This window comes from Homo sapiens, chromosome 6, assembly GCF_000001405.40.
Source record: "Homo sapiens chromosome 6, GRCh38.p14 Primary Assembly".
Taxonomy (NCBI): domain Eukaryota; kingdom Metazoa; phylum Chordata; class Mammalia; order Primates; family Hominidae; genus Homo; species Homo sapiens.
This window is the reverse complement of record NC_000006.12, coordinates 46,902,479-46,917,719: the sequence shown is the minus strand read 5'-3', so window position 1 is coordinate 46,917,719 and position 15,241 is coordinate 46,902,479. Positions and strand designations below refer to the sequence as shown.

At 41.3% G+C, this 15,241-nt stretch overlaps 1 protein-coding gene and 1 long non-coding RNA gene across 10 annotated transcripts in view; one reads left to right on the top strand and one right to left on the bottom strand.

Moving 5' to 3' along the window:
* The window catches only part of ADGRF5 (adhesion G protein-coupled receptor F5), a 102,418-nt gene that overhangs the window by 37,220 nt on the left and 49,957 nt on the right, over positions 1-15,241 (top strand). For 8 of the 9 annotated variants that reach the window (XM_047418326.1, NM_015234.5, XM_005248893.4 and 5 more), the window contains exon 2: positions 10,934-11,059. In XM_047418326.1, coding sequence (XP_047274282.1) covers positions 10,958-11,059 — 102 coding nt within the window. In that variant the 5' untranslated portion in view covers positions 10,934-10,957. Of the gene's footprint in view, positions 1-10,933; positions 11,060-15,241 lie in introns of those variants that run through there. The other variant, XM_047418327.1, reaches the window with a different exon arrangement.
* Positions 7,691-14,249, bottom strand: ADGRF5-AS1 (ADGRF5 antisense RNA 1). Its single transcript, NR_110658.1, has 4 exons — positions 14,142-14,249; positions 12,271-12,461; positions 9,706-9,852; positions 7,691-8,976 (listed from the first exon to the last, which is right to left on the bottom strand). It is a non-coding gene; the product is annotated as an ADGRF5 antisense RNA 1 (long non-coding RNA).

Below are 15,241 nucleotides of genomic sequence, written 5' to 3'. Positions count from 1 at the left end.
GGACACAGGGTGGGGAGCATCACACACAGGGGCCTGTGGGGGGCGGGTGAGGGTTAGGGGAGGGATAGCATTAGGAGAAATAACAAACAATATTTATCGAGTATTTGCTATGTGCCAGGGACCATACTCAGTGTTTTATAAACATGATTGTTAACCCATTTAGTTGTTCCAATAATCCTATGCCTCAAATAAAATCATAATCCCCATTTTATAGATGGGGGATCCAGAAAAGTTAAGTAAATCACTTGAGACAAAAAGCTAGCAAATAGAGGCACGTTAAGATTCCATCTCAGGCAGTCTGACTTCAGAGTCCATATGCCTAATTACCGTGCTATGCCTGAAAAACACACAGTGCTGAAAAGTGATCCACATGGCAGGACCAGATGAGTAGCTGAGGAGAGAAATGCGGTTCATGCAGTGGAAAGATATATCTCTGGGGAAGACAAAATAAGAGACAATATGCCATAAAGGTCAGAGTTCAGACTTTGGAGACAAACTTGGCCACTTGCCAAGTGTGTTTGTTTAGCCAAGGCTCAGTTTCTTCATCTGTAAAATGAAGATGATGATACTTCTCATAAACAGGATTATAAAGATTAAATGAGTCTAGTGCATGTATAGTGCTTAACCTAATGCTTGCCATATGGCAAGTGTCTGACACACAGCAAGTGCTTGATAAATTATAGTAATTGTTGTTACCAAATGAATAAGCAAGACCTGAAATAATGAGTAAAGCTCAGAAAGGAGAAATAGAGCATTTCAGTTACCAAGAATAGCGCGAGAAGAAGCTGCAAGGTAGCAATGCATTCCACTAATATTGTCTCTTAATATTTATGACAAAAGAAGGTACAATAAAAGCTGGGAGTGGGTCAGTTTGCTCTATACTCAAGTGTTATGGGAGAAAAATTGACAGAGCTCATTTTACATTAGGTCGTGGTGATCATGCTTGCCTGGTGAATTGGCTTAAATATTCTCTGGGCATTTGCAAACATTTAAAGTATTTAAATATGATCTAGCCACAATTTAGGAAGAATAGTGCTCTGGGCAAATAAATTCCCTGCTGTTGTGTTGGATTATTGGTCAGGGAAGAAAGGAGCGAGGGGCCCATTCAGGAGATTATTGAGACCATCTAGATGTAAGATGATAATGTCCCAACCAATGTAGTGGCCCAATGTCCAAAAAAGTGTGGTGAGATGACAATATCCAAACCGATGAGGGGCTCTGAGCACATCAGCAGCAGGTAACAGGACTTAGTACCCGGTCGAATTGCTGCTTCTGCTCCTGCACCACTTCTTGTGTCCAAGGACACCTGTGAAGCTGTGAGCCTAGGAAACAATGAAGCCAGCAGTTGGCACATCTGGGAAGGGATGGGTTAGGAGAGAGCAGTGGGACAGGAGACAAGTTCAGTTTTCGATGATCTGAATTTACACTCAAGTGGAAAGAGTATAGTTGAAAAGCCATGCCTAATATGTAGCAAAGAGAGGAAATAGGCATGCAGAGGAAAGAGATATCTTTGGGGACAAGAAAAGAGGCAATATGCCATAAAGGTCAGAGGCTGGAAATACAGTTCTGGGAATTCTCACATAAACTGACAATTAAAACTATGGAAGTGGATGAGCTTACTATAAGAAGGTGTCAAGAGAGAAGAGCTGTAGACCCAGGAGAGGTATTTGGCAGGGCGCACAGTGAGGCAGCTGCAGGATGATGAGGATGGGAGCATAGAAGGAGAAAAGGCATAAGCTCGGGAGCCTTGAGAACCAGGAAAGGGAAAGGGAAAGGGAGCGCTGCAGAGGAGGAGGCCATGCACAAATGGAGCAGGTACCCACCGCAAGCCAGGGAGAGTGAGGACTGGGGCAAATGTTGTGGGTTTGCCTCTACAGAATACTTTTCATAATGAGGTGAGGACTAAAGTCAAACTGTCCAGAGTAAGGAAATCTTGAACTAGCAAGGACTTTTCAGGGTACTGTATTTCTTGGGGTTGGGGGTGGGGGGATAAAGTAATATTTTTTTTTTCATTCTGAATAGCACACACATTATATGGTTAAAATCTAACAAAATCCCTGAAGAAGGAAATGAAGATTTAGAAGAGAAGTCATTGGCTAAGGACAGCAAAGCCATTTCTCAGAGAGATGGAATGGATGGGGGCCATAAAGGGAGGAAGTGCAGAAGGCTAAGGTGGCCCTGCCAATTACTGTAATGTTGGAATATTTTAAGCCACATTGCAAATAACTGCTTCCTCCAGCCCCTGGAGTGCCTCCCCACCTCTTCTTTAGTCATCCAGTCCCTTTCCTGGGATCCTACACAGACTTCCCTACAATCCAGCAATGACACTGCTAAGGTCTAGCCCAGCAGGAGACCCCCAGGCCCTGCTCCTGCACAGTGGACAGAGATTGTTCTGATTGGTCCATTATTATTATTATTATTATTATTATTAAAATAGTCAAGTATTATTTTGGAGCTTACCTAACACATGGTAGAACCACAGAACTGTGAAGCTTGAGAACAACCTAATGTAAAATGAGCTTTGCCAAGTTTTCTCACATAACATTTGAGTATAGAACAAACTGGGCCGGGTGCAGTGGCTCACGTCTATAATCCCAGCACTTTGGGAGGCCGAGATGGGCGGATCACTTGAGGTCAGGAGTTCAAGACCAGCCTGGCCAATATGGTGAAACCCCATCTCTACTAAAAATACAAAAATCAGCCGGGCATGGTGGCATGTTCCTGTAGTCTCAGCTACTTGGGAGGCTGAGGCAGGAGAATCGCTTGAACCCCAGAGTCAGAGGTTGCAGTGAGCCAAGATCATGCCATTGCACTCCAGCCAGGGTGTCTCAGTGAGATTCCGTCTCAAAAAAAACAAACAAACAAAAAAAATAAAAACAAACAACAAAAACCTGACCCATTCCACAGGGCTTCCCTCCGTCTGCAATTGGAATGCACCCCTGGGCATTGTTTTGCCATGGCTTAGGGAAACCCCTCCACATGGTGAATTAATGCAAGACGGACTAGATAAGAGCAGTTAGGAACTCAATGTTTTCACATAGATGGCAATCTTTTGCTTAAAGCCTAAGACCCACAGTGACTTAACAACAAGAAAAGAGGGATAAAAGGTTATCAACGCCGCCCACATGTGCAGTGTGTTTTGGAAAACTTGATCCTATTGTGTACAAACAAATGTTCCCCTGTAATCTGATAGTACTGAACTGCCCTGACACAATGCTGCTGCAGGGCCTGATTTCAAGGCAATGGAAAATTAAATAGGAAAAAAAATGTCTTCAAGGCAGTTCTTTAATTGTTATTGTGTCCCATGTTTGTGTTAAATAAATATTTAGCTTATATTTTTGCTTGTGCAGGAGATGAATCATCTAATCAAATAAGGTCAGCAAAGATAAGTCTTACCACCTCTGCAGCTGAAAATACAGATTTATGAAGGCAGGCTCTTAAAGTTACACTTAAGGGTTTTTTAATCTGTACTTCTACAGTTCAGGGAGTAGGTTGCTGATGGCATTCTATCCTTATTGCAACTCTGTATCTCATGGAGATGAGCAGAGTAATAATCATAGTAAAATTTGCAATGATAGTCCTCCTGAAAGTTGGCATTGCCATCTATCATCCACCATTAAAAGTAACTCTATTCTTTAGTAGTAGAATGCTTGTATGTGCTCATCTATTTTCAGGCTCATTTAGTCTCTATTTTGATAAGTATATGTTTGCAAAAGGGCTGCCTGATCGTAGTCTGTATCCCAGAACACAAGGTTTGGGAGACATTAGGGTATATGCCGTTGGCTGTTTTCAAAGGTCACAATAGTGTGTCTAGTTAGCCAGATGCAGGCCAAGGTTTAGTAAGAGGTATGATTTCCCTTGATTTTGTACTAATACAGTTAGTTCCTTTCTTAAAGAGAAAGCTATGCGTATAACATCACCTACTGCGTGGACGTGAAAGCTAAGCAGCTTACATGTGGGAAGAACCTTCACCTTCTACTTCAATTTACAAACAAATTTCGTGAGTTTCATGTACTCACCATCTCCAAGTCCTCACTCCCCAAACACTCTATAACTCTTCCCAGTACAGTTTCTATCCAACCATCCCAATGGGATTTCCTTTGCTGAGAGCATACCATGTCTCCAAGTCCAATGAGCAATATCAGTCTCCTCCTTAATGGACTTCTTGGCACCACTGGACATAGTTGACCACCCCCTTCTTCTTCTTCTTTTTTTTTTTTGAGGTGGAGTTTTGCTTTTGTTGCCCAGGCTGGAGTGCAATGGCGTGATCTTGGTTCACTGCAATCTCCACCTCCTGGGTTGAAGCAATTCTCCTGCCTCAGCCTCCCGAGTAGCTGAGATTACAGGTGTCCACCACAATGCCTGGCTGATTTTTGTATTTTTAGTAGAGACAGGGTTTCACTATGTTAGGCAAGGCTGGTCTCATACTCCAGACATCTGGTGATCCGCCCCCCTTGGCCTTCCAAAGTGCTGGGATTAAAGGCGTGAGACACCTGGCCCAGCCCCCTTCTTCTTAAAACTTGACTTTCCCCGGTTTCCTTGACTCCACTAGCCTTGTTTCCCTCCTGTTCCTGCCTCTCTGGTTTCATTCCTGTCTCAGGCGATTAGCCACTATTTAGAGCTGGTGGTGGGAGTACTAAGAAGAATTTATCAAGACAGTCGTAGGTAAAGAAAGGCAAATTTATTAGAAAAAGTATGAAAATATGTTGCAAGGATGCAATGGACAGGCCAGCAAAAAGGGGCTGACTGTAACAAGACACAGTCTTGCTGGGGATTTTATAGAATGTTGCTTCTATTGTGTGCTGAAGAGGGCTTTGTGCAGTACTGATAATGCCAAGGTTGCAGTGAGCTAACTTGCATTTTTTTTAATCAGCGAAGGGTCTGGTCATAACTTGGGCACAGGAAGATTGTGAGTTATTTGCACAGGAGGGCTATGTGTTCTGGACCATGAAGAAAGGCAGACTTATAGCTTATCTGCTTTTTATTTTTGCTGTCCCCTGTTCCTGCCAGCCTGATTCTTTTTCCCTAATTAGGACTTCACAATTTCCAATCATCTTGGCTTTGTCATGTTTCTTAACTGGACCTTTGATTGTTGGAATTCTGTAGGACTTGTTCCTAGGCCTCCTTCTCTACTCTCTATTGCCTCCCTAATCAATCTTACCTAATCCTGTTGTTGCAATGACAAGTCCTCCCCATCCTGGCCTCTGCTCACCTCACCCCGTCTGCCTCGTACCCTTCACCTGCTCTCTTTTCATGTTCCAGCCACTCTGGCCTGCTTGCAGCTCCTCAAATGTGTCATGCTCTTTCTTCACCTCAGGGCCTTTTCACATGATCTTTTTTTTCCACCTAGAACCATCTTCCTCCCCTTCTTCCAAACTCCCCTGTTGTTTTTAGCTAACTCCAACTTATGCTTTAGGTTTCAGCTCAAATAAATACTTCCCCTGGAATATCTTCCACAAATCCCTAAGACTAGGTCAGGTCCTTCTGGTATAGCCTTTTGTAAACAATTCTGCACAATGGTTAAAGGGATGGGCTCTTGAGTTAGACTTTCTAGGTTCAAATCCTGGCTCTGTCACTTACTAGCTGTGTTATCTCAGGCAAGTTATTTAACCACTCAGTGGCTCAGTTAATTTTATATCATACCAGATCTGTACCCTTTAATTAGATATCATACTAGAACCACCCCATTAGAATTGTAAAGACTCAGTGATTTAATATTGTCGGTGCTGAGTTTAGTGCCTGGTATATAGTAAGTCCTCAACAAATATTAATATTATGATTACTGTTCTCGGTAGCACTTTCACAGTCATAGTTAAACAATGAATTGAGTAATTTATTCTTTAATAATGTTCATCTACTTCATTAGACTTTAAGCTTCATGGAGACAGGGACCGTTGTCTTGTTTACTGCTACTTCCCCTTCACTCAGTAGAACTCTTAACATGTAACAGGACTTAATAAATGTTTTTCCAGTAAAGGAATACACAAATGAATAGATAAGGGAATAAATAGATTTACTTCGTGCAATAGATATAACAATAAATATAATACAAGCAGGAAGGCTAAAGGCCTAGACTAAGTGTGTGTAGGTGTTCAGGGGAAGTAGAGACTATTTATAACTGGACAGATCAGGAAACCTTCATCTGTGAGGGAGCCCTTTGCCTGGGCATTGAAGGATGGGTAGAATCTGAATATGCAGTGATTGTGTGGGGTTAGGGGACAGGAAAAGATGGAGATTAATAAACCAAATAAATGATAGGGTTATTTTGGTTTCGCCAAACACAGAAAAATTGTTTGACAGTAATTACTCCTGTCCCTCCCCAAAATTAATTCTCAAAGTTTGACTTGGCATTTTTACTTTTGCGTGAGCATTGGAAAATCTCTTGCACTATTTTAACTTATGAAAAAGCAGCTGACTTTGGTAGTGAAAGTATTATAGATGCTTATTACATATGCTAACTCTTCTAAATAAAGTCCAGGTTATGGAGAGCCTTGAGGATCAGTGAAAGTGATTTCCTTTATTCTGAAAGCAGGGAAAAATTGAACAGGGAATGTTGTGTGAAGAGTACTTCAGGAAAACCCATCTTGCCTCTCTGTAGAGAGGGAGCAGAGAAGTAAAGAAGGGAAGCCATTGCCATGGTGTACATGAGGGGCAGAGAAGGCCTAGACTGTGTAGTAAGTCAGAAGTGGTGAGATAAATGCAAGATAGTTATGATTATTCTCAGAAGTTAACCAGAGTGAGCCTGCATTTGAGTTGAAATAACTGTGAAGAATTTTAGACTCTTAAAATAGTAACAGGACTTCAAGAGACCAACTCCTGCATCCCAATTTTGAAATTATTGAGTGCAGTCAAATCCCTGGATTTACTGATAAGAAAACAGGCTCAGAGAGATAAAGTGACTTGCCCCACATCACACAGCTAATTAGTGGCAAAATGAGGCTAGAAGTTTTTTTCCAGTTGCCTGGTCAGGTGTCTATAACTTATAATTTGTTTGTTTGTTTGTTTGTTTGTTTGGTTGGTTGGTTGATTTCCCACCAAGAAAATCTCTTAGCTCAAATGGCACCTTGTTCTCAGGAGAATAGACTGCTTTGTTTATAATTTTGCCACTACCGTCTATCAGCTGTGTGGCCTCAGTGAATTAATCATCCTTCTAAGCTTCCTTTTCCATGTCTGAAAAATGGGGGTAATTTAATAGTATCAGAGGCTCCTTGAGAGGGTTAGAGGGCGTAACCCTTGCAGAGAGCTCAGCAGCAGACCTAGAATATAGTGAGCACCCAGTAAGACAGGACTCCTACATTCATTTTCACTAGCAATTATTACCCACCAATTATAATTAATAACCAATTAATAACCACTGGCAATTATTACCCACAATCCTATCCTACAGTCATTGTCACCAGCAATTATTACCCACCAATTATAATTAATAGCCAATTAATAACCACCAGCAATTATTACCCACAATCCTATCATAAATGGTTGCTCCAACTGTCGGAGGATATCATTGGCTAAAATTTTGAGAATCATTGGTAGATCTCTTGGAGTTCTGACGAACTCAGCTCCTAGCCACCTCTGAGCTCTGAGACACTCAGCTCTTTCTAGGCCTAGTTTTCTGATCTCAGGGCTGATGAAGGATTTCTAAGAGAAGAGTTGATCTTAAGCACTGATTGTTTCTCTATTTTTTATTTTATTTTATTTTATTTTATTTTATTGAGAGATAGGGTCTTGCTCTGTTAGAGGTTGGACTAGAATGGTGAAATCATAGCTCACTGCAGCCTCGAACTCCAGGGCTCATGGACTCAAGCCATCTCCCCACCTCAGCCCCCTGAGTAGCTAGGATTATGGGTGCATGCCAGTGCACCTGGCTATTTACAAAAAAAAAAACTTTTTTGTTTTTGTTTGTTTTGGTATAATACAGAGTCTCAGTTTGTTGCTCAGGCTGGTCTTGAACTCCTGGCTTCAAGTGATCCTTTCTCCTTGCCCTCTGAAAATGCTGGGATTGCAGGCATGCATTACCACACCCAGCCAGCACCGGTTGTTTCTAAGGGTTGTAAGAACAGGCCAGTTCCACAGTGAAGCTTCCTGGTGCATAATCACTCTGCAAGAGAATGCCATTAATGGTGGCTTCAGGGAACCCAGATCATTCATCCTCCAGATGCAGTGTTGCTGAGAATCTTGATGACTTATTCCTGGCATATGATGTCAGGCTGTGCTTTATTTTCCTCTCCCTGTCTTCTAACTTCACAGACAGGAAAATAGAGTCAGAGGAGACCAGGAAGTTGCTCAGAGCCGCAAGGCTAATACTGAGGGCTAGGGCATATTTCCCAGCTTTGGTGAGTTTTAGTAGAGAGTGTCCTGGATTTTAATTTAAAAAGAGAAGGAGATCGGGAATGACATCTGATAATGTTCTTTCTTTCTCTGCCTCTGTTTCTCTCTTTGTCTCTCAGTCTTTGTCTGCCGTTTACTCCAGGAATTTTAGAAGAAATATGAACTTTTAGGGAATTTAGCATTAAAGGGCCCCTACTGAAGACAAACTGCCTTGAATATGGGATGCTGCTCCATATTTTTAACTGGATGAATATAGACTTTTCCCCCACATTGGCCAAGTTAAACAGTTTTTGCTTGCTTCCTCACAGGTATGGATACCTGTGAGCTGGAAGGTTTATACGATTAATGATGCAGGTTAAAGAAAAGTTGATCTTTAGGTCTCTACCCAAGTGTGGCAGCAACCCCAAAAGCTGAAGTGAATTTCAGCTCGTGTCACTGTTCCCATTGGTCAGGTCCATTCCATACAGGTTGTCAAATATATTGACTATTTCCTTTCTTTCAAAGTGGTGGCTTTCTCCTTTCTTTTGAGTGAAGAATCCCTGACATTTGTGTGTAACTGATGACTGTATATCATCTTCTGCATCCAGAGAACACCCGCCTCCCCGTGGTAGCATCCTTCCTACATCTCCATTTCTTTTGGCTTGCAATCTTGTTGTCAACAAATAAGTCAACATAGATAAGAATGTTAATTTATTAAAAATAGTCTCAGCAGAGGCAGGGGTGGGGGAAGATGGGGACAGTATTGGCCAATGGCCTGTACAAAAGGGCCAGACATGACTATTTGAAAACATTGTAATTCTTGCTAACTGACCAAAAAAAGGATGCAATGCCAACACTGGGAAATCGTAGAAAGATATGGAGCCAGCTCTAGTCCTTCTAGTATGTGAGTTCTTCCTTGGTTATCAGATTCGAAGGGAGGCTCATTAACTATTCAGTTACTAAGTCTCGTCTCCTTGATTAACTGCCTCAGTAGGGAACCAACTGAGGTTGGGGCCTGAAAAGACTACTTTGCCTCCTAAATACCTGACTCATTCTGTATTAGCCTGTTCAATACCCACAAAGACACACTGTCTTTCAAAAAGGAAGATAAAACTTCCAATAGAAAATTAAGCAGTACATTGCTATGATTTCCCCATAGCAGATGCATCTGGTCTTAAACAACTACTATAACCTAAATTGCAAAGCATTTCCCCCAAACCATTGAGTTGCAGAATTTAAAAAATGTGTTTGATTGCCAAATTTGCAAATTGGATCAGTTTTCCAGTTTTCCACTGAGGAAGAGGAAAAGGTGGCAGTTGTCAGCTGGCAATTGAAATACAATTTTCCCTGGCATGTAAATCTTGCCTATCATCAGTGTGTTATCCTGGCCATGCTTACCTGGCGCTCCCTGCAACACTGCAGCCAAAGCCTGCCCTTCTGGATGGTTGCATTCTGGATTCTATTGACGATCAGAGTAATAATTATTGCAGCCTGCATTTCTGGAGTTCTTCATGCCTTTTAATCTCATTCGAGTCTCAGAAAACTCTGTGAGAGAATTAGGGGAGGTACAATTATCCCCGTTTTACAGATGGGAAAACTTGGACTCAGAGAAGACAAATTACTTACACAGGACACAGTTAGTTTCTAGTAATCCTGGATCCTAACCCATATCTTGTGTCTCTCAGTCTAGCATTCTTTTCACAACAACACCTGGGCATAGAAAAGCTACAAGGAGAGGAGTGTGCACAAAGTAGATTGTCTTGGTCCCTAGACCTTCTAGGGTGGAGGTTATTCCGTGTGACACCCTACTTTTTAAGTGAAAAAATGTCAAAAATGATTCATCTCATCACCAAAAAGCTATTTTCATCATCAGCATTATAAAATGAATTTTAAAAAATCAACACATAAGGCCAGGCATGATGACTTACGTCTGTAATCCTGGCACTTTGGGAGGCTGAGGCAGGAGGATTGCTTGAGGCCAGGAATTCAAGACCAGCCTGGGCAATAGAGTGAAACCCTGTCTCAAAAAATAAAAAAAATAAATAAATAAAATAAAAAGAACTCAATGAATAAGATGGGATATATAATGATACTAATATTCTATATTATGCACTATAATATGAAATAATACTGTAAGATACAACTTACATTTTTTATAACCAAGTCCAGCAGTTTTCATACTAATGGGTCATAGTCCATTAATATGGGTCATGATGTCCATTTAATGGGATGCTACCAGAATTAAATTAAAAATGTGGAAAGATACTCTATGATAGAATTGAAAATACCAAAGTATATTGCATGTAGCGAAAATGAATAGTGTTCTCTGAGTCTTTTTGTTCATAAATTATGTGTAAGTATTTCTTACTCAAACATCTGCTACCTTTGTCCTATTTACAGGCACCATTCTCAGCCTATCAACCCGCATTCCCCTACTGTGACCATTTCTTCACCCAAAGGTCTGGGCAGAGAATGCTAAGTTGATTCCTTCATGCTCCTCCTTCCTTTTGTGTCTCTTTTGAAAAGTTCTTGTGTAGGATGACCTTTAAGACAGGGCTTGCGAGTTCTTTTTCCTTGTTTAAGAAATAAATTGCTGTATATCTAAACCATCATATTTCCATTTCAGGCCAACCAACTCAAACTTGAAGACATGAAATCCCCAAGGAGAACCACTTTGTGCCTCATGTTTATTGTGATTTATTCTTCCAAAGCTGCACTGAACTGGAATTACGAGTCTACTATTCATCCTTTGGTGAGTTATATCCATATCTGCTATAATTTTTCTTGTCACATTTTTCTGATTTCCTGACTGACAATGGTTCTTACAAAAAGTTTAAGGAGAAAAAACTTTAGGGGGAGAAAAAACATTCTTCCCATAGTTGCAACATAAGAAAAAATGTTGCAAATGAGGAGAAGGGGTGAATGTAAACTCAGGTCAGTGTATTTGCTGGGCTACCACTTGCTATATTCTGAAATAAGTGGTGGTGTCAAGGGAACACCAATGTAGCTTCAAGAGAGACCTCCCAGGGTTCCTTCCTTCACTAAATTACAACCACTAGGCCTAAGTCTTCCACTCTGTTAAACTGACAACAATAACAACAAAGCAGATTTGAAGGATTGAGCAGAATGTATGTTCTCAAAGGATTTGTTTTAACTGGGACATCAGGCTAGAACACATTCCAAAAGACATTAATCTGTGTGTGTGTGACAGTCACAGACTGATATAGCTGAAGGGACCATAGACATCATAGAAGACCTTTGCTGACAGATTATTCAGGTGGTTTTGTCTTTGGAAAGTCAATGAGAGTTTAGCTTAAGTAAAGGGAGGGATAAGTACCCCCTTATTCCTTATGGGAATTTTCAGGTTATTCCTTACTTAGCTTCTCCCTGCACCAGAGACAGGGCATGTTACTGGTTGGGAATCTTTGAAGACTGATGTAATTCTCTCTGTCTCAATTTCTTCATCTGTACAATGATGCTAATAGTAGTACTGATTTCCTTTTATTGTTATGAAAATTAAATTAGTTCATATCTATAAGATGCTCTAGAACAGTGTCTGGCACATAATAAATGTTATGTGACTGTTTGCTGTTATTGTTTCTCTTATTGTAGTAATGTTTTCCACTTTTTTGTTTTACATATTTCAGTTCTATTTTTTTGTCAGTCATTGTTGTTAGAGGTTCATTGGTATGTTTTTAGCATTATAAAATGCCCTTCTTTGTCCTACTTTGTATGTTTTAATTTAATTATTTGTCTACTATTCCAATTGTCATTTCTGCTTTTGTTTGTGTGTTTGCCCGATTTTTGTCCTTTATTTTTTCAAGCCTTTATATACCACTTTGTTTTATGATTCTCTTGTAAACAATGTGCGTTTGATTTTTTTTTCTTTTAAACCAAACTTGAGCAAGTAAATTTGTATAATTTATTCCCATTTGATATCATTTTCAAAATGCTTGATCTTACCTTCAGGATTTTGTTTCACGACTTCATGTACTTTCTTCCTCTTTCCATTTTTGGTTCTTTCATTGTTTGACCTAGGTTATCTTTGTCTTTTCTTTATTTCTTTCATGACTTGGGGAATATATATGGTGTGTCTCCTCTTCCAAACCCCAGTGTGCAGAGTACAACCTGTACACTCATACACAATAGCCTTCCTATTTAAATAGAGAAGGGAAACATTTAAGCTTCTTGTGAATTCACATAGTCAGTGCAGAGCTCTGGCTATCCAAGGCAGGTGGGGTAAAAGCCAGGGCCTGAGGTGATCTCAGCAATGGGGTTAGCTTTGCCTCTGTTCCAGCATTTCTTAGTGCTCCTGGCTGCAGCAATGCCTTCTCTCTATGTCACATCTGCCCTCCTAGTGATGGCCCTGGCAAAGCCCCTTCATCTGCCTGGTGGTGAAGGCTGGTCAGGGGATAAGCTGACCTCCTAGAGATCTTGGTGGAATGTGAAATCCATCTTCTTGGAAGCTCCTACAACTCACCTCAAAGGACCCCACTTTTCTTTGGTAGATCTACCCTTCAAGGTATAATGTCTTCATGCAACCCAAAGGCTGAAGACTCCCATTGGAAAAGTGCACTTGAGCCTGCCTGATCAGTTTATACTGCCCTAAGCTGCCACCCAGTTTCCATGACTGACCTTCTGCCATCTTAAGTGACACATGTATGCAACATCTGGTGATGGGCTTGGTATTTGAAATTGTGAAAAAATATGCCTAACATAAAATTTAACATCTTGAAACCATTTTTAGGCATACAGTTTATTAGTATTAAGTATATTCACATTATTGTACAATAAATTTTCATAATTTTTTCATTTTGCAAAACTCAAACTCTATACCCATTTGTCAATAACTCCTCATTTCCTTCTCTACTGACAGCTGCTGGTTACTACTATTCTAATTTCTGTCTATTAATTTGGTGATTCTAGATAACTCCTGTAGGTGGAATCATATAGTATTTGTCTTTTTGTGGCTGACTTATTTCACTTAGCATATTATCCTCAAGGTTTATCTATGTTGTAGCCTGTGTCAGCACTTCCCCTCTTTTTAAGGCCGAATAATATCCTATTGTACATATGTCTATGTTTTGTTTGTCCACTCATCCATCCACGGACATGAGTTGCTTCCACCTCTTGGCCATTGTGAATAATGTGCCTATGAACGTGAATATACACATGTGGGGTAAAGGGCTTTTAAAGGGTGATGATGTAGCTCAGTGCTTCTCAAGCTTTCATGTAAGCATGGATCTGCCCAGAGACCTTCTTCAAATGCAGATTTTAGCTCAGGATGCTTGGGTGGGTCCCAGGATGCTGGTTTTCAGACATGCTGCCCTGGATCCTGCTCCAGTGACCATCTTAGAGTTACAGGCTATATATGCTCAACTTTGATGTCAGGTCTGAGTGGAAGCCCAGCTCTGACTCTCATTAGCTTTGGAAACTGTCAACTTTCTTCGTTTCCCTGAGTCTGTTTCCTCTACATGAGAATAAATCATATCTCCTTCATCTGTTCGTTGTGAGGCTTCAATGTTCTACATGCAACCCACAGCACAGTGACTAGCACAGAGCCCAAGTGCTTATGAATTTGTAGCTATTTTTAATATTCTAGTATTAGGTTGGTGCAAAAGTAATTGCAGCTTTTGCAATTACTTTTGATACAAATAAACCCCTCTGAATATGCTTATGTGAGGAGACATTGCTAGAGGATTCTTGCTCAGACAGTTTTCGAACACAGAAGCAAAGATGTTAAATTGGAAGTTTCAGGTCAAGAAAAAGAGGCATGTGTGGCAGGGCTCGGGTGAGTAGGGTTAAGATTTGGGAAAGCAGGAGCCTTTGCTTACCTTCTCGTTTGCCATCCTGTTCCCTGGGAATTTTCTTCTTCATGAATAAAAAGCCACCTCTCATTCCTGACTGACTACCCACCCCCACTCCAGGCCACCCTGCCCCACCACCACTACAATTATTTGTGAAGTCATCATGTCCGACAGGTGGGGCACTTCCTGGAATTGGTGACCTTGTCTTTTCCGGCTGAAGCTTTGCCTTCAGGAAATTCCCTCTGGACAGCTCTGTCCACTGTGGCTCAGACAGTCCCCTGGGGACCTCTACACAGATGGAGCAGGCAGGGGAGGTCCAATTGGAAGCTCTGTTTTCTTGTCTGAAGTAAATACACTGCCGAGCACTGGGAGCCCTGGCAAACCTGTGCTCCCTTGTGAGATCTACCCAGCACCCAAAGTGTAAGAGGAAAGGCAAGTGCTGGAGTCCCACAGTTCCCCAAACTGCGATAACATGAGGACTCAGGATGGTAAGGCTGGTCCCCAGTGAGCCCCATGCCGGCAGGATACACGACACTCACCACTACCAGAGACTGCACTGAGCACCTGACATGCCTCAGCACTTATTATTTTTCATAATGTAAGAAACAGAGGATTCGAGGGAGTGAATGACATCTCCTAAAAATCTGAAACTGTGGGATTCACTTCTTGGTGTGACCATTTGCTCTATTCAAATCAGGTCCGGTGACTTGGCAGCCAGATCTTTGTAACTCCTTGAATCTGGGGATGGCCAAGAGCATTTACCCATCTCCATCCCAACTCCTCAGAGGCTTCATTGCCATCAATGTGCTTTTCCCTCCATTATCTCCAATGATTGTAGGGCTTAAAATAGTAAGTAGGCTGCTCCCACTGGACAACGAAGAGGCTGTAGGTGACAGAGCTGTGGAAGCGGCACTTGCAAAGATGTGGCCTGAAAGTTCCAGATGATCACCATAAAGATTCCGGAAATCTTCAGAAAGTAGTGTTTCCAAAAGATGGCCTCATGTCAATGGATGCGCTGCTTGAAAAGGCAGTTTTCTGCACCTCACCCCAGACCTACTGAATCACACTGGGGGCAGGGGAGACCAATGATCCTGATTCTTACAAAGAGTTGAAATATGCTGCATTAG